This window comes from Homo sapiens, chromosome 1 (genome assembly GCF_000001405.40).
Source record: "Homo sapiens chromosome 1, GRCh38.p14 Primary Assembly".
NCBI classification, from domain to species: Eukaryota; Metazoa; Chordata; class Mammalia; order Primates; family Hominidae; genus Homo; species Homo sapiens.
This window is the reverse complement of record NC_000001.11, coordinates 29,431,283-29,458,708: the sequence shown is the minus strand read 5'-3', so window position 1 is coordinate 29,458,708 and position 27,426 is coordinate 29,431,283. Positions and strand designations below refer to the sequence as shown.

At 50.3% G+C, this 27,426-nt stretch overlaps 1 long non-coding RNA gene across 1 annotated transcript in view, besides 2 other annotated features; it reads right to left on the bottom strand.

The window, feature by feature from the left end:
- The window catches only part of LOC107984933 (uncharacterized), an 82,158-nt gene extending 66,393 nt beyond the window's left edge, over positions 1-15,765 (bottom strand). Inside the window, exon 1 of the long non-coding RNA XR_001737955.2 lies at positions 15,711-15,765. This is a non-coding gene — a long non-coding RNA (uncharacterized LOC107984933). The remainder of the gene's footprint in view (positions 1-15,710) is intronic.
- Positions 3,238-4,216: an enhancer, noted in NCBI's record as "H3K27ac-H3K4me1 hESC enhancer chr1:29781005-29781983 (GRCh37/hg19 assembly coordinates)". NCBI's record gives its function as "activates a minimal SCP1, AML or CMV promoter by ChIP-STARR-seq in primed H9 embryonic stem cells {active_cell/tissue: H9 hESC(primed)}" and the evidence as "EXISTENCE:reporter gene assay evidence [ECO:0000049][PMID:30033119]".
- Positions 5,302-5,802: an enhancer, noted in NCBI's record as "H3K4me1 hESC enhancer chr1:29779419-29779919 (GRCh37/hg19 assembly coordinates)". NCBI's record gives its function as "activates a minimal SCP1, AML or CMV promoter by ChIP-STARR-seq in naive H9 embryonic stem cells {active_cell/tissue: H9 hESC(naive)}" and the evidence as "EXISTENCE:reporter gene assay evidence [ECO:0000049][PMID:30033119]".
- Positions 15,766-27,426: the final 11,661 nt, after the last annotated feature.

Here is a 27,426-nt window from a genome sequence, read left to right as displayed (position 1 = left end):
ATGGCCTGGGCTCAGATCCTGTCTTCAGCACCTTCCGGCTGCATCACCTCGAGTGAATTATTTAACCACGCAATTTTCTCATCCCGAAAGCGAGAGAATCATAGTAAAATACTAGGTGTCTCGTACAGACGTCACAAAGATTAGATAAGTTAGGAGACTTAGAGAAGTTACCGCAGGACCTGGTGCTAGGTTACATTCAATGAATGAGAGCTGCTTTATTATGATGATGAGTAGTTACAAATTTTGAGTATAATAATAACTGACACATGGCAATTTGAAAAATAAGAAAGATACGTTGTTGAGTGTTTCATTCAGGAAAGCTCGGTGAATGTCACTGTCCCCATCACTCCCGCTTGGCCTTGGTGCTGCCCACTAAGTAACCTCCTTTCACAGCCCCCATCCAGCCCCAGTGCTCAGACTCTGCCCATCTCCTCTCAAAACCCCACTCAGAATCATGGAAATATGGAGCAGCTTTCAGTCTAACGTGCAGTCCAGCCCTGGCACTGATCACATCCCACCTCCCTAAGGGTTTTGCTCACAGGCTGTTGGGTCCCTGCTGCCTGTGTCTGCAGCATCGCTGAGCCCGCCAGCCCAGCAGCTGTGCAGCTTCTTGCCCTGGGCCCGTCGCAGTACCCAGTCAGGAGAGGGGTAGCAAGAGAGGGAGAATGGGAGGGGAAGGAGGTGGGACAGGCCAGGCCATGCTGGGAATGAGGTAGCAGCTTGGCTCCAAGAAACCCAGGATGTTTGCCTCAGAATGAAGCATTTAGATTAATGAATTTAGCCCTCGGTCTCCTCTCCATTTTTCAGATTGGGAAACTGAGGCTCTGAGGGCAAGAAACGTCCCCAAGGTTATACTATAAATCAGTGGCAAAGCAGGGACTAGTACTCAGGCCACCTGTCTCTCAAGCCAGGACTCTTTAAACCACTCTGATAAGAGGATTAAAAGACTTGTTTAAGGCAGAACACACTGATCAGTTTGCTGCTGTGTGGAAGACAGGGCTGAGAAGGGAGGCCCCTAATTCCAGGGTGAGGAGGTTGGAATTTATTCTATGGGCAAGAGGGAGCCATGGATGGTTCTTGAGCAGGATAGTGACAGGATCAGAGCTTGCTTTAAAGAGCTGTATCTGGAAGCAGCATGGGGGCATAACTGGAGATGATGAGGCTGGAGACAAGGCAACTGGTGAGGAGGCTGGGACATTGATCCAGGGAGGCAGTGATGAGACATGACCATAATCATCATGTAATACCAGTGACCTTACATTGAACATGGGCTCATGTGCTTCATCTTATTTAATCTTCAAAACTGTCCTATTAATAGTCTCTTTTTTATCAGGAAACTGAAGTTCAGAGAGATGAAGTTACTCACTGAGAGTCATACCTCTATTAAGTGGCAGACTTCAGGTTTGAACCAAGCACTGCCTGCTCCACACAGGACTGACAGGTCTGGGACTCCAGCAGTAAGGGTGGGGAGGAGGGATACTTCTCCAGAGATCTGAGAGGACAAACTGACAGGGGAGGGAGGTGACACAGTTGAATGAGAGTGGCAGAATCAGCCTGGGGAGTTTGAGCTTTGGACCGGAGATTGGGATGGAGCCTAGACTTGGGAAGAAGAAAGTGAGCCCATTGCATAGATGTGTAATATGAGGTGGTGAAAGCAATGAGCGTTTCTCTCCCTACTCTCACTCTCAGGCTCTCCTAATCTGGAAAAAAAAGAAATGGTTTTGATCAATCACTAATAACTCCCACAATTATGTAGAAGTGTGAGGTTTGTATCAGTCAGCTTGGACTAGATTGTGCTGTGGTAACAAACATCCCCCACATCTCAGTGGCTTAAATCCACAAAGGCTTCTTCCTCATTCGTGCTACCTGTGCTTATTGGTTGGCTGGGGCCTCCGACCCCCCTTATCCTCTCCCCAGGACAGGCTGATAGGTCAGAACAGGGCCTGCCAGTCATTCAGGCCTAGATGAAAACAGGAGCAAGGGGAATCATGCCTCTTAAGCTCCCATCTGTACATGCTGCTTCCACTCACATTTCATTAAGCAAGTCACATGACCTTATTCAAGTTCAAGTTGGCAGAAAAGTGCAATCCCACCATGTGGCTGGGAGAAGAGGAAAATTTGGTGCATCAACAGCATGGGGTGTATCCTCAGTTGTCCATTCAGGAGGCAGCTCAAACTTAGCAAATTCAAAAGAGAACTTCTTCTCCCTCAAACCTACCTGCCTCAAGCCTTCTCTGTCCCTGCAGATGGCACCTTCACTCACCCAGTTAGTCAAACTGGGAACCTCAGAGTCATCCTCGACTCTCCCCTTTTCCCACCACCCACATCAAATCCATTATTCAGTCCTGTTGATTCAGCCTCCATGATGTATCTGAGTTCCATGGGCTTCTTCTACCTTTGGTTCAGGCTGTTCCTGCCCTGGTCCAGGCTGCCCCAGCTCTCACCTGGACACCTGCAGCAGCTCCAGCCAGGTCCCCTGTTCCTTCTTGCCCCTCCACACTCCATTATCCACAATGTGAGCGTGATGTTTTGAAAATTCACAACTGTGTCACTCTCTCCTGCTTAAAACCCTCCAGGGACTTCAGCTGCTCCCAGAACAAACTTCAGAGTCCTCGTGATGGCCATGGCATTGTGCCTGAGCCATCGACCATCTCCAGCTGGCCCTTACAGCCCCATCTCCTCCCACAGCCCTCATGCACTGCCGCTTGGCCACCCTGACCTTCACAACACTGCTAGATGGTGCCACTGCTATGTCTTCGTATTCTGGCCCTGATCTCAGGATACCCTTCCCTCAGCTCCAGGCAAGGCGGCACCTGCTCATGCACAGACCTAAGCCTAAAGTCACCTCCTCCTAGAAGCCTTCCCAAAAGGACCTCTGCTCCAGCCACTCTTTTCCACAACATCCTGCTTTATTTCCTTCATGGCACTCAACACATTCTGAAATGATCTTGTTCATTCATTCATTGGTGTGTTTATTATCAGTCTCCGCCCTACAAGCATGCAAGCTCCGTAGGGGCAGGACCTCGTCCATTTTGTGCCCTGCTGCATCTCCAGTGCCTTGCATGGTGCCAAGCACAAAGTAGGGAGCTGAGAGACACTTGTTGAATGAATGAATGAATGAATGAGGTGGGCAGGACCCCAGACCTCCTCCCTCCAGTGCTGGGCTCTCCCAGTTCCACAGTCATTGGGAAGGAGGGGTTTTCAGGACGGTCAGTGGCTGCAGGACACAGTAGGGCCTGTCCCCAGGATCCCTGGTCCCCTAGTCCTCCTGACAAGGACTGTCCCCCATATCCAAGGGGTGTGAAGTTAGCATGCACCTCCCCTTCTTTCCAGCTCTCTGCTTACACCTTCCCCTCTCCCTTCCATGTGCCAGGTCTGGACAGAGCCAGCCTGACCACCAGAACCTCAACAGACACCAGCTGCCCAGGCCCTCGAGGAGGTCTGAAGAGCTGAGGTCCAGTGGGAAGCTAGTCCACCACCTTCAAGGAGGCCTCAGGTCGGGGGGACAGTCCTGACTTCAGGAGCCCTCAGTCTGGAGAAGACACGCGCCTGCTCTCAGGAGCCTCTAGGGGGTGAAGTCAGACACCTGCCCAAGGAGGCCGCTCTGACTAGCGGGGGGAGGCAGCCTTGCCAGTAGAGAGTCCAGTCTGCTGGGGAGACCTAGACCTCACCAGGGGCAGGAGCCCTTGCGGGAGGCCAGACACTGCCAGGGAGACCCCAGTCCCTGTAGACTCCAGTCCCTGTAGACTCAGAGACCTGCACTTACATTATTCAGAAACAGGCACGCAAGGTGGCCCCAACTCCCAGGTGGCCAGCCCCCTCCCTGAGGCAGAGGGGCAGCTTGGGGAGGTGGGGCTCCCAGATGGTGGACCCTGGGGCTGAACTGCCAAGAGCATCCATCTCCACGGAGGCCCAGACCCTGTCAGTGTGCTCCCTGGACTGGTGGTGGAAGGAGGGAGCCCGGATCCCAGCCTCGCGGTGCCCACAGCCTCCTGTGGTATCATGGACGGGTCCCTGTCCACTCTGAGACCATCTCCTCATCTGTGGCTCTGATGCTGCCTCCAGGCTGGGATCTCTCTGCTCTCTTCACCTCACACCTGCTTCCCCCTGCTTCACCCTATCACCTGTGTTCTTGATCCTATAATTGTAGAAACAGAAACTTGGCTAATTTCTTGGGCCTGCAAATTGCCCAGTGGGGAGACTGGGTGGGCAGCCCCCGCTTCCACTCCATCGCCCACCCTGATGCATCGTCTGACACTTTCAATTTATTTTTCAATTCCTCTACCATCAGAAATGACGATTAGATTTCCAGCAAAAATACCACGTTACCAAACTGAATTAATCACGGCAAGGAGGGGCACACACAGGCTCCAGGAGCCTGGGCAGAACATCCCAGCATTAACACTTCCATCCTCACCCAGGCACCCATCAGCAGGACAGAGGCTCCAGGCCTCCCAGAAGACGCCACTCAGCCATCATTGGGGTCACCTAATCCCAGACCCCCTCACCCTTTGCAGCCTCCCTCCTGTGGGCGTTCGGAGGAAGAGCCTTGTTCCGAGGAAGAGTCTTGTTCAAGGTCATGTGCCCCATCAGGACAGGGGGCTCATCCACATCCAGAACATAAGATGAGACTACCCAGGGTTTGGCATTGTCCAGGCCACATATGGGATGGGGCTCCTGCAGGTGTGAGGGTGGGGGCATCTGATGATCACAGGGTCTGGGCCCACAGGGGTCTTGGAGGGACCTGGGGGAAACTTCCCACCCCTGTACCACAACCAAGGCATTGCCCCTCCCTGCCAAGGCCATTCATTGATCAGTCCAACCACAGCTAAAGTTGACCTCAACTGTCCCTGACTACAGGTGTAACTGAGAAGAGAAGAAGGAGGAGGAGGAGGAGGAGAAGGAGGGGGGGAGGAGGAGGAGGAGGAGATGAATAGGAGGAGGAGGAAGCCGGGGAGGAGAGCAAGTATGACAACAATACACTTGTATTTAATGCTAACCGCCGGAAGGGGGAGTAAACTTGGAAGCAAGTGGTGTTTTAAGAGCCCCTCCCCTCTCCAGGGGCAGAGCCAATCTTCCCCTGGGCCCAGATTAACAGTAACAACAACAATCACTAGCAGGAGCGTCTAACAAGTGTGTTTGGTCCCTCAGGCACACTCTGTCCCACCCAGGGCCTTTGCACCTACAGTTCCGTCTCCCCAGAGTGCCCTCCTCCCTCCTTTCTGTCTCACTAACGCCTTTGTCTGTCAGAGCCCAGGTCAGATGTCACTTTCCCAGGGAAAACTTTCCCAGGGAAATCTTTCCTGATCACTCCCTCCCTCCTTTGGTAATCCACTCCCATCCCAGCCCCTCTAATTCTGTCTCATAGCACTTGCCCAGATGGGTGAATGTCTACTGGAGTGATTATTTTATTAATGTCTATCCCCTGCTGGACTCCGACCTCCAGGAGTGTGGTGGTCATGTCTGTTTCACTGCCCGTGGGAACACAGCACCCAGCACAGTGCCTGGAACAGAGGAGGTGCTCAGTAAGTGCTGGTGGCGTAAGTAGGGCAGAAGATGAGGCAAATAGATAAAGAAGTCCTTAGAAAGAGTGAGTCTTCCAAAAAGCACTGACCCTGGCCCCAGCCCCAGCAGCAGGGCAAGCCCCGATTCCCAGCTCCTGCTGGCACTGCCTCCCCATCCCCATGCACACATATCTGCCCCTGCTAAGTGACTGGCTGCCTGGCTCAGAAGGAGTTAACAGCCCAAGTTGCAGCCCAAGACCTCTGCAGGACCTACCTGGTTGACTGAGCCCTGTAAGGGTAAGCAGGGGTGGGGACCGTCTCAGGGACCCTCTCAGGAGGCCTGTGCACTCTGGGGAGAGTCAAAAGGACACCCTTCCCCTCCTGCATCCCCGTGCTCTGATTCAAAGCACCGCCACATCCCTCACCTCTCTTCTTCTTGAAAGCAGCCCTGGAGCAGGCTGCTGTCTCCCACATGAAGAAGAGGCCCCGGGAGGAGAGGGCTCAAGGCCACACAGCTGTTGGTGGTGGAGCTAGACTGAGCTCTGTCAGGTGGTTGGACACAGCTTCGGCTTCCACAGTCCGTGAGTGTTTTCCACCCTCCCTGCAACCCTTGCAGGAGCTCCACCTCAACGCCAGTCTGCCTCTCAGACTGCGGCTCAGGCCCAGACCCAGATTCCCTGCTCCCCATCCTTCAAAGTGGCTGAGGATGACAGAAGATTCCCCAGGACATCTGTCATCCCAGCGAAGCCTTTAGAAAGGAGAAATGAACTCACATCTCAGTTCTCTCTATTCTGGGACTTTTTATTAATTCATTCACCCACCCACCTGTCTATCCCTCCACCCACCCATCATTGGCTGAGTAGCTACCGTGGCCCAGGCACTGGCTGAGGCCCTGGGACACCACAGTGGACAGAAGAGGCCCCATCCCTCCCCTCGGGGAGCCCACATGGTAATGGGGAGAGATGACAGACACATAAAGGACTGACCAGCTGTGGGGCATGTGGGTGGCGATGAGGTCAGGGACACAGGACAGGTGAAGGGGCAGCGCATGATGGGAGGGAGTGGGACAGTGACACGTGAGACGCAGTCAGGAGGAGCGCGCAGATGAGGACGTCTGAGCTGAGACCTGAAGTAGGGGAGCCAGGCTGTCCAGGGGCCGGGGTGGGTGTCATTACTCCCAGTGCCATCTTCCAGTCTCCCAAGCATCCCAGTCGGAGGATGAATTCTGTGGTCACCATGGATAATGGGGTCAAATGAGCTCATGGGCATAACATCTTAACTCAGGGCCTGGCATACAGTAGGTGCTCAGTATGTGAGAGCTGCTATTGTCATTACTATTTTATTATCCTTATTATTCCACATGATGATGATGATCCTGAATGCACACGTGTTCCCACTCACCTCCTGCTTCCAAGTCTCAGAAGCTTCACCGTGGAGTGTGCAGGGTGAGCACCACCTCCACTAATGGAGCTGCCCCACCTGGGCTGTTGAGAGGGACGGAGCACCCTGAGCCCCCACTGGGGGTGGGGAGGGGGAAGGTGCCAGACGAGGGGGTGTGGGACAATCCCTCCCCCTCCTCTCATCCTTGCAGACTCGAAGGCGCAGCTGACATATCATCGCGTCAGGAGTCTGGGGAAGGTCTCATTAATTATGATTATTGACACCTTCGCAGATGCTGGCCATGTGACGCCCACTCTGGTGACAAAGGATTCCGGTAATTCTGTTTGAACTGCACTTTCCAGGCAATACGGTTTTCATTTGGGCCACTGGGAAAACGGTTTATCTTCGAAGACACTGTCTGGGGTGGGCTGGTGGGCGCTTGGCCCCACCCGTACTCCCTCCTGGAGGGTCTTGATGGTGCCAGAGCTAAGAGATGGCTGGGAACCAGGTCTGTCTCACCCAGAGCTCAGAGAGCATCTACTGAGGACCTAGTTCTCCCAGACCTCAGGGCAATTCACCTTGGCAACTAACCTCTGGCCTGTTTTTCTCAGCATCTGTGAAGTCACATAACTGGGTAAGGGACTTCATCAGCTTGCAATCCCACACACTCCCATTCCTCCGGCCCCCTGTGCCCATCACACATGGATCTTGGTCTCTTTTGTCCCTGATGTGACCCAAGCTCCTGAAACAGTGCCAGGCACACAGTAGGGGGCTTTAAAATGAGCCTGCTCTTAATGATAGCATCCACTGCTTCCTCGGTACCAGCATGAGCCTTCCACGGCTCTCATCTAACCTTCACACCAGTCCTGTGGGTGCTAATGAGGTAAAAGTCCTCGCTGGTGTCCATTAGTCCTAGCTGTGCGCCAGCAATGTTCTGAGTGCTTCAAATGGCTTGCCTTGCTTGACCCTCACGGAGCCTGTGAGGCGGGCACCATCATTAACTCCCATTTCACAAATGACTCATGCCTCTTGACAAGGACCACAGGGCCGCAGAGTGGCAGAGCCGAGCCAGAACCCGGCAGCACCCCCTGGACACTCTAGAGTCTGCCTCAGCCTCACCACACTGCGTTTCCATCTGGATTTTATACATGGAAACTGAGGCTCAGATGGGGCATACTGGTTTTCTTTCACTGTGACGCAAACCTCTCCAAAACTTGGCAGCTTAGAACAGCCACCATTATATTTTGCTTACAATTTTCTGGGTCAGGAATTTGGCACCTGGAGCACAGCTGTGTCTGCTGTGCGGTGATCGGTCTCAGCCAGGTGGCTTGCAGGGCTGTGGGTGGCTGCAGTGTCTGGGCTGGGGCCGTATGTCTGGGCCTCAGTTCTGGATGTTGGCTGGCTCCTTGGCTCTTCTCCCCATCACTCTGCCAGGCCATAATGTCCAAGATGCCTTCCCCACTCACCCGGTGGCTCCTGGGCCACATCCACCCACTTGGATGTCTGACCCTGGGCTGGGCTCCCCCAGAGGGAGCATTCCAAGGGACAAGAAAGGGAAGCCACCAGTTTTGTAAGGCTGTAAGCACCACATGCCCCAGATGGAGGAGGGGCTTGTTAGCAGGCCGACTCCCAGGACCTCTCCATTCCCAGAAACCAGAACCTCTGGAGGGGGCCACTCCCCTGGGTGAGTCTGACCTGCTCAATATCTGGGCACCACTGTTAATTCCCTCCTCTCCCAAACCTTGCCTGTCTGTGCCAGGCCAGGGCTGACCTCCACCTCCACTGCCCCTGCAATGGCCACACTGCAGCCCTGAGCCACTGCCACCACCAGTCTATGGGGAGGTCCAGCGAGGCTCCCAGCAGAATGGATGTGTCAGGCTCTGCGCTGGGCTCCTGGCCTGTCACTGCCTGTCCCTCCCCCACCCCAGGGACCCTGAGGCCACAATGAGCACAGACTCTGGAGGGGTCCTGGTTGGGGGGAGCCTGCTGAATTTCTTACACCAGCTGCCCAGGAAGGCTGAGGCACTGGCCTTAGAGCCCCCAGCCTCAAGCCTTGAGCTTTGAGGTTCTGCAGTGGCAGGAAGAGAGCCAGAAGCCCTCCCACTGTTTGTAACTCTCTGACCCCAACAGGGATTCACCGCCCCATCCACAGCCCCTCACTCCATTCTCACCAGGCTCCGATCCAGCCACAGGACCAGCTGACCTGGGGGAGCCCCGGTCACTCAGGCTCAGGCAGGTGACTCCATTTTTCTTTCATTACAGTTGCCTGGACCTCACCTTTGGGCCCCAAGTCCTCCTGTTTGTGATTCAGTGGGAGACAGAAAATTAACTCCCAATATTTACTTTATAACCTTCCACTCCTAGGAGATTGGAGTCTGATGGAAAGTTCTGGAACCCCTGAGTTCAAGGAACCTGAATAACAATCATGTTTATTGAAAGCTGACTGTGCCAGGCATACACTTCACCTGCGTCACCTCATTTCACCCTCGAAGCAGTCACACAGGGTATGTTACTCTCTCCCCATGTTGTCAGTGAGGAAACTGAGGCAGGGAGAGATTTGGCTCTTGGCCTGCAAGGCGGGTGGTGGGCTCTGAGCCCCCCCACCCTGCGGCACTGCCCTGGGGCACCTCACGCTCTGCCAAGGCCCTGCAGCCACCTCGGGGCTCCTTGGCAGTGATCACGGCCGAGACTGCACCAAGAGCAAACCTAGAAGAGAAATCAGTCCAGCAGCCCATGCGGCCGTGTCTGCCACGTGGGTCCTGGCTCTGTGAGGCTCAGGGGGGTCATCCCAGGTGGAGCCACCAAATCAGCCCCGCGTGTCCTGTTTTGAGCCCTGTGTCTTAAACTAAAGAGAGAGTTGTGACTGCTCTTTGCTCTGTAAATCCCAGAGTGGCCTTTGGCCAAAAGCAATACAATTCTGCCTTAGAAAAGTTAAAAGGACTTTGAAATTATGAGTCTCAAGCCCTGGCCTGATCCATGGATGAGAATGAGATGACTGAGGCAGCAGAAAGGAAAAGAAAGAGAAACACTTAACAGCAATTTCCCTTCCCGCTCACCTCCTCCAGGTTTCCATTAACCTTGCGCCACCCAGAGCCCTGACCTGAGAGGCAGAGAAGGGGGAGGCTGGGCGGGGGCCGGGGAGGGTGCACAGCTCAGGGCACACACAAGGCCGCCTAACCCTTGCTGACCCCCTGCTGCCTCCAGCCCTGGGTGCTGCAGCCTGGAGTGCAGGAGCTGAAGTGGCTGCCAACCCTGCCAAAGTCATAGTGGTTCTCAATATTTTGGGGTTCACAGCACCCTGGAATTTTTGGCAACACACTGGAAGGTATTCAAAGATTCAACATGGACTGGGCACGGTGGCTCACACCTGTAATCCCAGCACTTTGGGAGGCCAAAGCAGGTGGATCACCTGAAGTCAGGAGTTCAAGACCAGGCTGGCCAACATGGCAAAACCCCATCTCTACTTAAAAAAAAATTAGCTAGGCATGGTGGTGCGCTTGTAGTCCCAGGTACTCAGATGGCTAAGCAGGAGAATCGCTTGAACCTGGGAGGTGGAGGTTGCAGTGAGCTGAGATAATGAGTGAGACTCTGTCTCAAAAAAAAAAAAAAAAAAAGATTCAATATGACACAAAACACTCCAGCCACAACGACACAGCCACGGTGATGGCAGGATTGTGTTCACAGCACCACAGCATTTGCAGTGTCCACAGGTCCTCACTATTTCCTTGCCCTCTTCTCTCTGGGAGTCTCCCCACCATCCCCACTCCCACCCCCACCCCACCCCGTGCCCTCTTCTATATACTCATTGTTCCGTGAACGGGTTTTATATAAAAAGTGGCCCCCAAATGCTGAAGGAGCTGAGAAACCACAGAAGGAGACAGTCAAATCCTTGTCAGACAAATCCGGTTTGTCAGTAAAGAGTGTTTTATTAGCAAATTTACAGACAGAAGCATGGTCTTGAACAGCCACCAGACAGGCAGACCGCCACACTGTTACCCCCAACACCCAAAGCTTATCTATGACTAGACAGCAGACCTCCACACTTTTACCCCCAAGACCCAAAGCTTGTAAACCATAGGGAAAGGCTAAGTGTTCTAGCAAGACAGTCAAAGGCAGCCCTCCAGAATAGGCCAGAGCACTACGTGCAGCATAGCCTATGATTTGTGCAATGACATCAAGATAGACATGCTCTTGCCCCAGGGATAGTAAAAAAAAAAAAAAAAGGAATCAGGAGACATTCACAGTCCTGGGGCTAATCAGAAATCAACATGGCAGATTCACATCCAAGATAAAGTCACTTCTGTCTCCATACTCAGATACAGAAGTTTCTAGCTGAGGCTCAAAGTTTAGATGGGGCCTCCTACCTCATTCTTATATGAGTTTGTTTTTTTGTTTGTTTGTTTTGAGACAGAGTCTTGCTCTATCACCCAGGCTGGAGTACAGTGGTGCGATCTCGGCTCACTGCAACTTCCGCCTCCTGGGTTCAAGTGATTCGCCTGCCTCAGCCTCCCGAGTAGCTGGGATTACAGGCACCCGCGACCACACTCGGCTAATTTTTGTATTTTTAGTAGAGACGGGGTTTCACCATGTTGGCCAGGCTGGTCTCGAACTCCTGACCTCAGGTGATCCACCCACCTCAGCCTCCCAAAGTGCTGAGATTACAGGTGTGAGCCACTGTGCCTGGCCCCTATATGAGTTTTGAGATAGGTTCATCTCTGGCTGACCACAAAGAGAAAGGAAGTTCAGGAAGAGGAGACCCCAGGGCTGAGCGTGCAGCCTCTGGCCTAACTTAACCACTCAGTGCTTTTTTGGACAAGGTGGGAAAGAAGAGTAGGGTCTGGCCTTTATCTGCCCGCCATGTGGCAGTGCCGAAAGTGGAAGAGAAAGCTCTGTGGGGCCCTGGCCTTGCAGCACAGTGGCCCTGCCCTTCCATTACCTGGGCCCAATTAGCACATGGACCCCGATGAATCAGATTAGCAGCTCTATGGTGGGGTGGGCATGACTGGAAAGGAGGGGGCAGATCACCACCCCCTGTTGGACATAGACCTTAGCGATGCTGTCCGCGTCCCATCTGCATCCCTCAACACTCCCCACCCTGGACCAAACCACTGGAATATACAGACAAGTGCCTGTGACTCCATCTGAGGGCTTCCCTGAGCCTGCGTGCCGGGCAGATAGTCTTCAGCCAAGGGTGGGTGAGGACTTGGAGGACATGCACCCCAGGGCCCCACTCCACAGGTGGGTGGCTCAGAGGCAAGCTCTATAACTCTTAGAGTTCCCAGTGGACTCATCCCCCGTTGCCCCCAGGAGTACCTGTTCTGTCATGTGCTCTGAGTGATGACCCTGAACCTTTCTCACTGTGTGTTGGGTGGGTCTCTCACTTTCTGACTTCAGTTTCCTCCTTGGTAAGGATGCCCACCTGGCTGCTTGCTGGGGAGAGTTGTGGAAACAAATGCCAAGTGCCTAGCACAGCACCTGGGTATGGTGTGTGCTCCTTCCAGGAGTGTGTGCTAATGGGCGCCAGCTTTTTGTCTCCCCAGTAACCATGTCCTCTTATTTCAGCAACAGCCCTTGATTTGGGGGAGATCCTCCCTTTCCACATTCAGTCTGTGGTTCTGAGTGGGGCTTCACCCCAGGCCCCAGCTAGTCAGGGTATTATACTAAATTGGCTCAAGGATGATCACATGGCCCATAAGAGCCAACGGAGTGCAACAAAACACTGGTTGGGAATGCTGGGACTGAGGCACAAGCTCTTTGTCTCTGATATTGAACCTCGGGGGACAGACAGGCTGCCGCGGCCATTTGCCACCACACTGTGCCTGAGGATGAAGCCAATGGGGCAGAACCACAGCAGACTCTGGGACAGAGTAAAAGTGGGACCAGGTGACATTTTTTGAGCTCTTGATCAAGCCATTCCTGAAGTCCTACTCTGATTTTTCTGTCACCTATGCTAATGCCTCCCACCTTTGTGCTGAAGCCAGTCTGATGTGGATTTTCTTCTCACCATCTGCAGCTGAAAGCATTGACACAAACGTTGTTGTGTTGCTGTCATTATTATTATTGTCATCATTATGTACCTTCAGGCCTCAGCTTCCCCATCTGTCCAGTAAAAGGATTGAACCTTATGGCATCAAGAATCCAGCTCTGACATACTAGGATTCTAAGCACCCTGAGACCCTGGCAAGGCTTGGGGCTCTCAGAGTCAGGCAGGAATTTTTCTTGCCGATTCCCCAGGTTCCCCAGGGATGCTGAGACAGCAAACAGTGGGAGGAATATTGACAACGATGAGTCAATCATAGCTCTCACTTACTTGTCTGCTGGGAGATTTAGTTCACGAAAAATTGTGCCAGGGGAGGGAAGAAGAGCTTCTTGCTGCGCCGGGGATTGCTCGAGATCAGGAGGCCCTTGTGGTGAGAGTGATGCCCACGGGTTCACAATAATCTATCTTGGTTTTGTAAAATGCATCCTTATCCACTTAAACATCCCATGGCCCCAGGCAGGAAACAGGACCCAGGAGGAAAGGGCAGCCCAGAGAAATTAAGTGGCTCACCTGAGGTCACACAGCCATTACAGGGCTAACCCAGGGCTTGAACCCATCTCCACATGCTCGATCTCCAATGTCCCCAGACAGCCCTGTACCCCTGACTCAAGTGTGGTCAGGTGTGGTGGCTGAGCTGATGTTGGACACTTCTGGATGACCACACATGGCTGCCTGGGTGGAATCTTCCTGCTGTCAGCTGTCACTATGTGACCTCCCAGGAGGGGAGGGGAGGGGAAGGGCAGGGGAGTGGCCGTTGCACGCAGCAGCAAGGTAGCATTGTGGCCACACAGACCCTAGCTGCAACATTCAGGGCTGTGGGTCCTGGGGCCAGTGACCTAAGCTCACCTGTAAGGCAGACACTAACAAGAATCCCTATCTCACAGCCTGAGGTGCTACAGAGCTGTTCGGGGGTGCCAGGCACACAGCGAGTGCTATGTGAGGGTGTCTGAATAACCTATTTGCAGACAGGACACACTCCAGGATAGATAAGTACCTCGAGGGTCTCAGCTGTCATCTAAACCTTGGCCCTGACTCAGGCCCCTGGAGGATCTCAGATTATCTGCATCATCCACACGGAAAGCAGCCTTCTTTCCTCTTGGCATTTGTATCTGAACTCACCTTGCCCTTCAGTTCTGAGCTCCTTTCTCAGCAGGCCTCATTATTTCAGTCCTCCCAAGCCAGCCTTTCAGCCCACCTCTTTCAGGCAGCCCTCCCTGATTCGCCCCCCAGCCTGCATCCCTGCCTTCAGCTTCTCTCCAGTGCTCATGAGCACTGCAGCCAGGCCCCTAGTCCTGCCTCTACTAGTAACCCCCAACCCCTGTTTGGATCCAGTGAAGTTGCTTCTTCTCCCGGGACCTCAATTTCTTCATCCAACAAGTGGGCGTGACCATCCTGCCTGAGGAGCTCCCAGGATTGTGATGCAGATCAAACAAGTACATGGTTGAATGGGAAAATGTGAGAGCCACGTGGAGACTGTGGCTGCTTCAACCCTGTGTGGCTGAGGGTTCTGGCCCTTGTGTCCCGGGGGCAGGCGTGCTCCATGGTCAGGAGCTGTGACACCTTGGGCAAGTCACATGGCCTCTAGGAGATGCAGTCCTCACCTGTGCAATAGGGAAAGCCACATTATCTGCCTCTCATGGGACTCTGGGGGTTAGATGCGAGGAAACAGATCAAACACACTTGAGGGGGTGGACTAGAGAGATGGTGAGACAGGGAAGGGCATGGGGTAGAGCAGCATGCGCAAAGCTGAGAAGGAGGATTTGAGGATTCTGGATGTAACCAAAGCGGCAGGAAGAGCAGCAGCGCCAGAGGGAAGCTGAAGTCAGGTTTGCAGAGCCCTGAATGCCAGGATAAGGCACCGGAAGATGGAGCATGAAATGTGGGGCCTGGGGGGCTTCCTACCACATTTAGTCCTATCCCTCCCTCTAGAGCAGGGGAGGCAAAGCTGAAGTCAAGAGAATTTGCAAATACCAAAGATTTTCATGCAACTTGCCATCTAGCACCCCTGTGTCTGTGCAAACGTCACTTGGCTATTGAGGCGGTGATCCTGTGAGGCTGGGTGAAAACTAGGCATTGCGTTTCTTGGGTTCCCCCAACCCCTGCTTCCCAGTGCAAGGCAGCCCCAGTTTCCACCCACAAATGCCTGGGTTGGAAAAGAGACCAGGACCCCAGGCTGCCTGCAAGCAGAAAGGAGACATCGGGGTGTGTTAAAACACCCCCACCTCGACAACCACCTCCTGCCTGGGCTCCAGGTTCCCCTCCCACCTCCCACCTCCTTCTTCCACTAGGCAACCAGGGCAAAATCTTAAAAATAAGTTAGATCATGTCCTTCCCTAGCTTAAAACCCTCCAGTGGCTTCCCAATGCCCTTGGAACAAAATCCAAACTTCTGTCCACGTCCCTGTATGACTAGCTTCCTGTAGGGCTCTCCTCCACGCCCTATCTTTGACCCCCTCCCCCAGCCACCCCGCCCTGCGCACTCTCTGGTTCCCCTCTCTGGAATGCAGTTCCCCCACTCTCTGCCCAGTGGACTTCCTCAAATCGAAATTCTCAGCTGAAACATGGGGTCAGCCCCCATGTGCTCTGCATCCTTCCGCCAGTTCTGCACCTCCCCGGCTGGAGCAGCACCCTGGGAGGACAGGGACACTGCCTGAATATTCAGCTCTGAATATCCAGTGCCCGCAACACAGCCTAGTAGGTGTTGGATAAATATTTAGCCTGTGAGTGAAGGAATGAATTAACTAACTGATGCACTAGAGCAATCATATTTTACAGAGAGGGACTTACCGGAGATCTCAGGACTGGGACTGGGACTCAGACGTTCCTCTTACCACACACTGCTCCTAATTTCACTGTGAAAGCTGAGGGTAGGGTGGTGGGGAGTGTCTGGGAAGAGAGGAGAGGAGGAGCCAAAGCAGAAACACTAGATCCATTTTTTTTTTTTTTTTTTTGAGACAGAGTCTCGCTCTGTTGCCCAGGCTGGAGTGCAGTGGCATGATCTCGGCTCACTGCAACCTCCTACTCCTGGGTTCAAGCAATTCTCCTGCCTCAGCCTCCCGGGCAGCTGGGATTACAGGTGCACACAACCATGCCCAGCTAATTTTTGTATTTTAGTAGAGACAGGATTTAACCATGTTGGCCAGGCTCATCTCAAACTCCTGACCTCAAGTGATCCACCTGCCTCGCCCTCCCAAAGTACTGGGATTACAGGCGTGAGCCACCATGCCTGGCCAACACCAAATCTATTTATCCCTCCCTAAGCGACAGCCCCCTCAGCCCAGGCTTCTCTGGTGTAAGAGGCGAGGCGAGGGCTGCCAGACAGACAGGGAGGGGGCATGCTAGGGAGCTGGGTTGCTACAGCCAAGCCCGCAGGCTCTGGAGCCAGACTGAACTGGGTTCCAATTCCCCTTCCAGTTACAAGCTGTGCAACCTTGGGCAAGTGACTCAGTCTCTCTGTTGGGCTGAGGGGTAGAGGAACCTGGAGAAGTTTCAGCAGGTAGGAACCGGGTGATATAACTGAGTTTGCAGGGGAAGGGATTGGAAGGAGCCAGGTTGGGTGTGAGAAACCCAGTTGCCATCTGCAGCAATAGTCCAGACCCTAGTAGGCTCTTACAGAGAGGGTCTGCAGGAGCATCAGCTGAGCCAGAGTCTGTTGGTCCCATCCCTCCTCGTCCCAAGCCAGGATGGCAAAGCGGAGGTGGATGCTGCATGAGTCAGGCAGCACTGCAAACTGCCCTCGCCATCCTCTCCACAAAATCAAACATGTGCTGCTCACATAGGAGGTTTCATCTGGCTGCCTCCTTCCTGCAGCCCCCTGATATCTTCTTGTATTTTGTGCAAAGATCTCTCCCAAAACTCCATTTTTGTCAAAACACCAGCTTTGGTTCCATTGTGCAAAACACAATCTAACCAAAATAATAAACGAGAAACAAATTTGATGTTATAAAAATGACAAATGCGTACAGTAAAACATTCAAGCAATAGTAAATAAATATCACCCCCCAAAAAATGTTTTCTATTTGGTGAATCTCGTCCCAGGCACTTCTCTGTGTACCTACATAGAATAGGAGACACAGATAGACAAGGAAAAATGAAATTATATTATATATGCTATCTTTAATAAAAGAATATTAGGTATAATTTTACTTAATTTACCAGGAGAATTGGAAATTGGGGTAAAACTGAAATAAATATTAACTTCAGATAAATGTTGCTTCACAAGAATTTTTTTTTCCTAAAAATACTTTTACAATAAAGGAGAAAAACTTGTAAAATATTAAGATACTGTGGTCATGCTTTTTAAAAAATAACTTTATGTTTTGATTTTAAACTGATTGTATTGACCCCTTGGGAATGAAAGTTAGGAAGTTAGCACACTTATATTGTTTCTTATAACATTATTATTACCTTGCCAGGGTTTATAACATTTCATGATATTTGGGAGGCACAAACAAATCTCATGGCAATTTAGGGTGGGTTCTTTTTTTTTTTCTTTTTTTTTGAGACAGGGCTTCACTCTGTCACCCAGGCTGGAGTGCCATGACACAATCACAGCTCGCTGTAGCCTCGAACTCCTGGACTCAAGCAATCCTCAGCTTCCCAAGTAGCTAGGACTACAGGCACACACCGCCACACCTGGCTGATTTTTTTAATTTTTATTTTTTGTAAAGTTGGGGTTTCACTATGTTGCCTAGGCTGATCTTGAACTCCTGGCTACAAGCGATCCTCCCGCCTCAGCCTCCCAAAGTGCTGGGATTACAGGTGTGTGAGCCACCGCACCTGGCAGGATTCTGCATTTAAATAGGACTAATTCTCAGCCCAAAACATTCCCTTCTTGCTTCCTTTCTTCCTTGTTTCCATCCTTCTTTCTTTCTTCCTCTTTAATTTTTGAGTATATCTTTACCTTTCCTTTGTTCTTTCTTAATTTCACATTTTTGTTAATAGATTTTTTTTTCTGGGAAAACTCATGAATGTTGTATTTCATGAGCTCCTCATACTTCGAAATGTCTCCAACGCCTTTTACTTGAAAGACATACTGGTTGGGTGTAAAACTTGGGGGCTGCCTTTTCTTTCCCTTGGAACTCTATAGGCATCATTCCACTGCCTTCCAGCGTTGGGAAGGAGATGTTTCTATCAACCTAATTTCCCCGCTGCGTTGTGATTTGACTTCTCTACCTTGATGACCAGATGTAGTAACTTTATTTTTGAAGCTCAATTATTTTATGCAGATTTGTCTTGGAACTGATAGTTCTTCAGCAATATTTCCTGGAAGATTGTATATACTTTGGGCCTGCAGATTCATGTCTTTATTTCAAGATTTTCATTTTTAGTGTATCTTTGAGTATTTTTATACCTCTTGTCCCACAGAATGTGTATTCATTGGATAATGTTTGCCTGTCTTTTATGCCTCTCATCTCTCTAATCTTTCACCGAAACGAAACAAAGTTATTTTCTATTTAATGCTGTGTGACTTTCTATAGCTTATCCACAATATTCCCTACTATAGTGTAATCATCCTCACTTTATTTGTAAGTGCTTCTAATGTGGTTTTTATCTCTTTTGTTCCCCACCTCTCTCACTATCTCTCTATCTATATCTGTGCCTATAAATATATCCATAAATTTAGATATAGAGATAGATAGACTTAATTTTATGCCTAAGAACAGCCAGCTTGATTTACATCTCATGCTGTTATTTTATAATCGCTTTTTTCAATCCTCATATTTCTCAAGTCTTTTTAAAGAGACATCGTGTCATCTGAGACTGATTGAGACTCTGAAGAACAATTGTTTTCCCCTGTTTCTTTGGGCAATTCCTCTTGCGGGCTATTTTCTTCATCTGCCTTTGTTTACGTTCCATCTCTCTTTTTGCAGCAGCTAGGCATAGTTCCTGTGTTGGTTACTTTTTACCTCACTCTGGATAGGACCAGTCTTTGTGGGAGGATAGCGTGGGAAGGTGTGGGCAGGATGGCCTCAGGCGGTCTGCAGCTCCCATTTGGGCTCATGGTCTGAACTGTCTCTCACTACATCAGTTGTTTCTTCTGCCGTGGGAGCAGAATTCCGTGTTTGACATCCCAGCAGTCAGGGTGGCCCCAGCCAAGCCGCTAGGGTTCTGTGTCTGGGTCTCAGTGCTTTAAGCCAAGGACTCTTGGATGAAGTTTTTGGGTCTGGGATGTGGCTTTCCTATCTACAACATACTAGGGGGTCCACATGGATTGTCAGTTTCCTCTGTGTTCTGGTCTAGATTTCGCAGTATTTGGAAGAAAGGCTCCAGGGTTTGTGGTTTGGAGCTGTGGTGATTTCTGGTTTCAATAAAAATTAAGGAAACATATTTCCCCTATAATCAGATTTTTGTTTTATTGTCTTTGGTTGATTTCGAGAGACGAGTGGAGTTTAAATGTTCGACGCCATCATTTTCACCTGGAAATTAAATGCTTTCTCATCCACGTCTCTTTTAATCCTAACACCAACCCTGGTAAGCGAGCAAGACAGTGTCACCCTGGGCTGGATGACAGCAGGGCTGACAACTGGAAGACCCACGGCCTGAGCATGGAGCAAAACTGCATGGTTGCCTTAGATAAGAGCAGGTGTCCTCACAGGCACCCTGCCCCGCCGCAGGGAAAAATCCTGATACATCAGCCAAAATTCTCTCACGCTTTGGGTTTGGGTATATTTGAGACTTGTGTGGCAAGTACATAGCACTCACACTGTTGCCTCTGTGGGCACCAGGCAATGGCAGACATCGCTAATCAATCACAGTACTCTTACTTATCCCGCTGCATCTTTTCAAGACTACATTACAGGAGGACATTACCAACTAACTGACATTGGCAATTGAAATGCAACCTATGTGCCACTCCAGTATCAGAGATTCTTTAGCTACATCGAGCATTGACAGAGGAGTCAGAAAGACCTGGGTTGAATTTTAGTTCTGTGATTACCAGAATGATCCAGGCAAGTCTTTTTTTCTCTAAGCCTCAACTTTACTATTTGTAAAATGGGAATCATGTCATCACATAAAGTTATTAGAGGGAATACATGAGATAATGCATGAGTCATGACTACATAAAAACTACTTCAAAACCTAGGGGCTTAAAACAATAAACCTGGGCAAGGGGCAGTAGCTCACACCTGTAACCCCAGCACTTTGGGAGGCTGAGGCGGGCGGATCACCTGAGGTCAGGAGTCCGAGATCAGCCTGGCCGACATGGCGAAACCCCGTCTCTACTAAAAAGATAAAAATTAGCTGGGTGTGGTAGCACATGCCTGTAGTTCCAGCTACTCTGGAGGCTGAGGAAGGAGAATCACTTGAACCCAAGAAACAGAGGTTGCAGTGAGCTGAGATCACATCACTGCATCCAGACTCCAGCCTGGGCGACAGAGGGAAACTGTGTCTCAAAACAAAACAAAACGAAACAAAACAAAACAAAACAATAAGCCTTATTTAGCTCATGAGTCTACAGCACAGCAGGAGGTTTCTTTGCTCTGGACAGACTCATCTCATCTCAGCTGGACTTGCTCTTCTGTCTGTGGTCAGCGGGCAAGTCAGCTTGAGCTGGCAGTCTCAGATGGCCCTACTCAAATGGATGGGTGGTTAGTTGGCTTTCATCTGGGGCAATGGGGGTGATTAGGCCCTTGGGTCTCTTGTCCTCTAGCAGGCTCTCCCAGGCTTGTTTCCACGGCAGCAGTAGAATTCCAAGAGACTGGGTGGAAGAATGCAAGGCCTCTTGGAGTCCAGGCTCTGAAATGACACTCTGTCATTTCCATCCCATTCGATTGCACAAAGCAAGTCACAGGCTGACCCAGGTACAAGGGGTGGAGAAAGAGACTCTGCCACGAGATGGGAGGTGCTGCAAAGTCACATTGTGAAGGGTTTGATTAGTCCATTTTGTGTTACTATAACAGAACACCTGAGAATGAGTAATTTATAAAGAAAAATGTTTTATTTGGCTCATGCTTCTGGTGGCTGAAAAGTCCAAGATTGGGCAGCTGCATCTGGTGAGGGCCTTGGGCTGCTTCAACTCATGGTGGATATTGGAAAAGGACCCGGCATGTTCAAAGAGATCAGATGGCAAGAGAGGAAGCAAGGGAGAGACTGAGGAAGCCAGACTCTTTTTAACACTGCCACATTACGGATCAAATTTCAACATGAGTTTTAGCGAGGACAAACTACATTCAAACTATAGCATTCCACCCCTGCCCCCCCACCAAAACTTATGTCTTTGTCACATGCAAAATATAATCATTCCTGATCCCAATAGTCCCAAAAGTCTTAACTTGTCCTGGCATCAATTTAAAAGCTCAAAGTCTCTTGCCTGAGACTCAAGGCAAGCTCCTTCCCATTTATGAGCCTGTAAGATCAAAAATAAGTTATTCACTTCCAAGATATAATGGTGGTACAGGCATTGGGTAAACATTTCCATTCCAAAAAAGAAAAATTGGCCAAAAGAAAGGGGCAAAAGGCCTCACACAAGTCTGAAACCCGGCAGGGCAGATATTAAATCTTACAGTGCCAAAATAATCTCTCTTGACTCCAGGTCCTGCATCCCGGGCACATTTGTGTGAGCGGTGGGCTCCCAAAGCCTCTACAGCCACACTTCTATGGCTTTTCTGGGTGCAGCCTATGTGGCTGCTCTCATGGGTTGGAGCTGAGTGCCTGTGGCTTTTCCAGGCTCGGGGTGCAAGCTGCCAGTGGCTCTAACATGCTGGAGTCTGGAGAGTAGTGGCCCTGGTCCCACAGCTCCAGTAGTCAGAGCCTGGGTGGGGATTCCATGTGAGGGCTCTAACCTCACATTTCCCCATGGCACTGCCTGAGTAGAGGCTTTCAGTAGAGGCTCTCTGCAGGGTCTCTGCCCTGTAGCAGGTTTCTGCCTCCAGGTCGATACATCCCCTGAAATCCAGGTGGAAGCTGCCATGCCTCCATCACCCTTGCATTCTGCATGCCTGCAAAATTAGTACCACGTGGATGCAGATACCACCAAGGCTTACCACTTAGGATCTCCAGAACTGTGACATAAGTTGCACCTGGGGCTTCTTGAGCCATGGCTGCTCCAGCCAGAGCAGCCAGGATATGGGGCAGCACAGGGTAGCAGTGCTCTGGGCCCGTCCCCAGAAATCAGTTTGTCCAAGCCTCTGGGCTGGTGATGGAAGGCATGGCTTTGAAGATCTTTCAGATGCCTTTGGGGCCCTTTTCCCATTGTTCTGGCTGTTAGCACCTGGCTCCCTTTTAACCTCGCTTATCTATTTAGCAAAGGGTCTCTTGGCTACACCCTTGGATTCCTCCTGAAAATGCTTTCATTCTTTACCACATGGCGGGGCTGCAAAGTTTCCAAATCTTTTCACCCTGCTTCCCTTTTCCCTGGCAGTTCACCATAAGCAGTTAGACATAACCACACAGCTGCCTGAATGCTTTGCTGCTGAGAAATTTCTTCTGCCAAATATTCATCACTCTTAAATATGTCCTTCCAAGGCCCTAGGGCAGGACACAATGCATCCAAGTTCTTTGTTACAGTGTAATAAGGACGGCCTTTACTCCAATTTCCAATAAGATATTCCTCATTCCCATCTGAAACTTCATCAGTATGGCCTTTACTGTCCATATTTTTAATCAACATTTTGGCCACAACCACTTAACCAATCTTTAAGAAGTTCCGGCTCATCTTCTAAGCCTCTGCCAACATCACTCTTAATGCTCCATTCCCAGCAATACAGTCTTTTTCTAGCCTATTCTTCTTCCAACCTCTACTCATTATGCAGTTCCAAAGCTGCTTCCACATTTTCAAGTACCTGCACAGCAACACCTGGTACCAATAGTCCATTCTGTATTGCCATAACAGAATACCTGAGGCTGTGTAATTTATAAAGAAAAGAAGTTCATTTGGCTCACAATTCCGGTGGCTGAAAATTCCAAGACTGAACAACTGCATCTGGTCAGGGTCTCCTTTCTGCTTCTACTCATGGCAGAAAGTGGAAGGGGAGCCAGCATGTGCAAAGAAGTCACATGGCAGGCCAGGTGAGGTGGCTCACGCCTATAATCCCAGCACTTTGAGAGACCAAGGTGGATGGATCACCTGAGGTCAGGAGTTTGAGACCAGCCTGACCAATGTGGTGAAACACCATCTCTACTAAAAATACAAAATTAGCCGGGTGTGGTGGCACACACCTGTAATCCCAGCTACTTGAGAGGCTGAGGCAGGAGGATCGCTTGAACCCAGGAGATGGAGGTTGCAGTGAGCCAAGATCGCACCACTACACTCCAACCTGGGTGACAGAGCAAGACTCCACCTCAAAAACAAATAAATAAATAAATGAAATCGCATGGCAAAGAGGAAGCAAGAGAGAGAAACTGAGGAAGCCAGATTCTTTTTAACAGCTCGCTCCCAAAAGAGGGAGAACTCACTCACCCAGGTGGGTGAGAATTAATCTCTTCATAAGGAATGTACCCCCATAACCCAAATACCTCCTGCTAGGCCCCACCTCCCAACACTGCCACACTGGGAATCTTTTTTTTTTTTTTTTTTTTTTTTGAGACCAAGTTTCCCTCTGTTGCCCAGGCTGGAGCACAGTGGTGCAATCTCGGCTCACTGCAAGCTCTGCCTCCCGGGTTCACACCATTCTTCTGCCTCAGCCTCCCAAGTAGCTGGGACTACAGGCGCCCACCACCAGGCCTGGCTAATTTTTTTGTATTTTTAGTAGAGATGGGGTTTCATCATGTTGGCCAAGATGGTCTCCATCTACTGACCTCGTGATCTGCCCACCTCAGCCTCCCAAAGTGCTGGGATTACAGGCGTGAGCCACCACACCCAGCCTGGGGATCAAATTTTAACATGAGTTTTGAGGGTGGGAAACAAACCACATCCAAATCACAGCAGGTGGAGAATTGTAGCCACTTTTGCAGTGAGTCTAACATAGTATTTCACACTAATGGCCATGATTGAAACTCAATAGTAGGTTTTAGAAAAATTTTTAAATCCCAAATTGTCTAGTTTTTCTCTTGGTTGATGGCGTTCTCTTGGTTGATGAAGACGGAGTATGCAAATAGGCTTCATCTTGTGAGTTAACTCCAGGTTAAGATTGTGAGATCCACGCTGATCGGGAATGGTGCCGAAGCCAATTGACACTGTCTGCCCTGGGTATGCAATGCGAGGAGGCAATAAGTGCATTGCTGGGGAAGGAGTGGGCAATGAGGTCAGAGCTTAGAAGAGCCAGGTTCTGCTCCCTCACACACTCCCCGCTGTTTCTGGTGGACCACAGAGGTATAGGGGAAGAAGGATCTTACATTTTCTTACAACCTGATGACAGTCTAGTGGCCCACATTTTTTCACCAAAACTGATGGGGATTAGGATTAACACGTGCATTGTGAAGGTCAGTGAACATAGCATGAGAAGGCCTATATTCTAGTCCTAGGTCCCCATGGACCAGCTGTGTGACCTTAGACAAGTCTCTCACTTCCTGGGAATGGGGGGGTGGAAGGAAAGAGGTGATGGAAGAGGAATGCCATCCAACCTTGAAAGTGAGGTTAGTCCACATGAACTCTGAGGTATACGATGAATTAATTTTTCGAAGAGAGGCTGCCACCAACTCACATCACCTGACACACCCCATCCCAACTTTCTCTTACCCCTCCAAGTTTCCTAAACAAATCCTAGAAGGTCACTGTCCCCATAAAATCAATGGGCCTGGACTTGCCTCCTAATTTAATGCAAATCCAAGCCTGCCTTATTGTGCTGGAGTTTCTGTTCATTTCAACTTTCTTGGTGACGCAATCCATCCTCATTTCCAGTTGAGTTTCTAATCCCTGCAATTTCCATGGTGCTAGTAATTACAGGGAAAAGGCTGAAGCACAGAAATTCTGCATCCTGCCTATGAGATTACACACTTTAGTGGCGTTTATTAAATTTATTTTGCAGTTACTGAGGAGATGAAACTCACTGTACAACTCCAGAGGGCAAAGCAAGGACTGGTTCATAGAATCCACCAGAAAGCAGCTTGGAATTCAAAGGGAAGAAGCATTTTCTGACAGTCAGAGCTGCTCAGCATGGAGTGAGCCATCCCAAGAGACTGGGGTGAGGCTGGCAGGGCCCAGGCCTGGGGTGGTCAATGTGGGGGCCAATGAAGTGCAATGGCTTTGGGTCAGACCTGGGTTCATTTCCTCACTGCCCACTTTCCTGGGGATTCAGGCAAGAGCTCGCTTTTGTAAGCCTTGGTTCCCCCTTGAGTAAGATGGTGACAGCTGTGCTGGCCCACCTCACACCCAACCATGCAGGAGTCTGAACCCTGATGAGAGGGGTCAATGCACCTCTGATGGGTGGCTCCTCCCTGTCTGGTCCTGAGGTCTGTGGGGTCGAGGGCGGGGGCCACATTCCCTCAGGGGTAAGCACCGTCCTCCAGCATCAGCCTTATGGGTGATAAAGAGGGTTCATTTCTATTCAACATGCCCTTGACCCTGTCAATTGGACTGAGGAAGGGAAACCAGTGCCTTTAATGAGCCCCCAAACCTCAATGTTATTGCCACAAGGGCTGAAAGCTCGGCCAACATCTCACCTATGTTCAGAGGAGAGAAGTCCAAGCCCATGGAAAGACATGAGGAGAAGGATGGACAGGCTGCACCAATCCCTGCTGTTGGCCTGGGGGCCAGGCATGCACCCAGAGAGGGTGGCATTGGCAGACTGAGCAACCACACAACTGGGTATGTGAGTTTGAGGATCAAGATCAGCAGAGGAGAAGGGTTGAGGGGCAAATGTGAAGCTGAAGGGGTGGGATGGGGGCCTGGATATAATAAGGCCACAACTTTACCATCACGGAGACCTGAATGAAGTCCTGGCCTCCCCCTTCCTAGCCATGCAGCCATCAGTACATCATTTAGCCTTCCTAAACTCCACTTTCCTTGACTGGAAAATAGAGAAAACAGGGCTTAGGGAGTAGTAAATAAGGTGGCACATGCAAATCCCAGAGCCCAACACACAGCAGCAGCTCCATAAACGTTGGCTGCTACTTTTATTCATTAGTGAGTGGACATCAGTAGTCACCTACCATGGCAATTTGACAGAGTCCTCTCTGACCTCTTGACCTAGTTCAGGTCCTCTTGTCCTGTATGTTTATAGAGCTGTCTTCTGCCTCTTTTCTAAGGCTCATTACCTTGCTCCATGTCTACCTCCACCTCCAGGACATCTGCTCCAACACTGCAGGGAGCAGGGCGCCCTTCTTCTCCACTGTCTTGCCCCAGTTCCCAGCACAGTGCCTGGCACATAGCAGGTGCTCAATAAAGATTGCTGAATGAATTTTGCTGCCATACAGTGTTAAGGGCCATGACAGGGATATGCACAGAGGGCTGTGGGGTCCCAGTGGAGGTGGGAGGCAGAGTGTGAAGTGTAAGAGTCATAGAGGGGTCTATGAGCTGAATTGTGTCACCCACAAAATGTATGTATTGAAGTCTAACTCCCAGTACCTCATAATGTAACTGTATTTGAAGATAAGTTCCTTAAAGAGGTAATTAAGTTAAAAGGAGGTCTTTAGGGTAACCAGGAAACTCTTCCTTATAAGAAGAAGAAATTTAAACAGACACACACAGCACAGAGGAAACGCCAGATGAGGACACTGCATGAAGGCAGCGGTCTGCAAGTCAAGGAGAAAGACCTCAGAAGACACCAAATCTGCTGACACCTTGATTGTGGACTTCCAGCTTCCAGAACTATGAGAAAATAAGTTTCTATGTATAAGCTTCCCAGCCTGTGGTATTTTGTTATGGAAGCCCAAGCTGTTTAATACAAAGGGCTTCCTGGGAGAGATGGCTCTGAGCTGAATCTTCAAAATGAGACAGAGAGAAGAGAGTCCAGGCAGAGGTAATAGCAAGACCATGTGTGTCAGAAACCAGCTAGGCAGCCTGAGCTGGAGGCTCAAGTCAGGGAGTGACGGGAGAAGAGATCAGAGATCAACAGAAGCCCCATGGTAAACAGCCTCAAATTCCAGGCCTGAAAGACTTTAGCCTGAGATTCTTGAGCTATTTTTTTCCTGAACCTAATCACTTGATGTGTATTAACTGATTGAATCCTACAAGAATCCTGGGGATGTTCATTATCATCTCCATTAACAGTTGTGGAAACTGAGGCAGAGGGAATTTAGGGAAATTACCAAAAACCACACAGCGTAAGTGACAGAGAAGGGAGTCGAACCAGGGTGCTGAGGGTCTGAAACCCATGTTCCTAGCTACTACACTGTTCTTCAGCAAGGGAGGGATAAAGTCAGATTTTATTTTAGAAAGAGTCCTCTCATGACAGCTGTCTTGGTCCATTTTGTGTGGCTATAACAGAATACCTGAGAGTGGGTCAATTTATAAAGAAAAAAGCTTTATTCAGCTCGTGATTCTAGTGGCTGGAAAGTCCAAGAGCATGGCACTGGCATCTGCTCAGCTTCTGGTGAGGGCCAAGTGCTATGTCAAGACGTGGTGGAGAAACAGAAAGGCATGTGCAAAGAAAAAGCAAACATGAGGAGGAATCTCACTTTA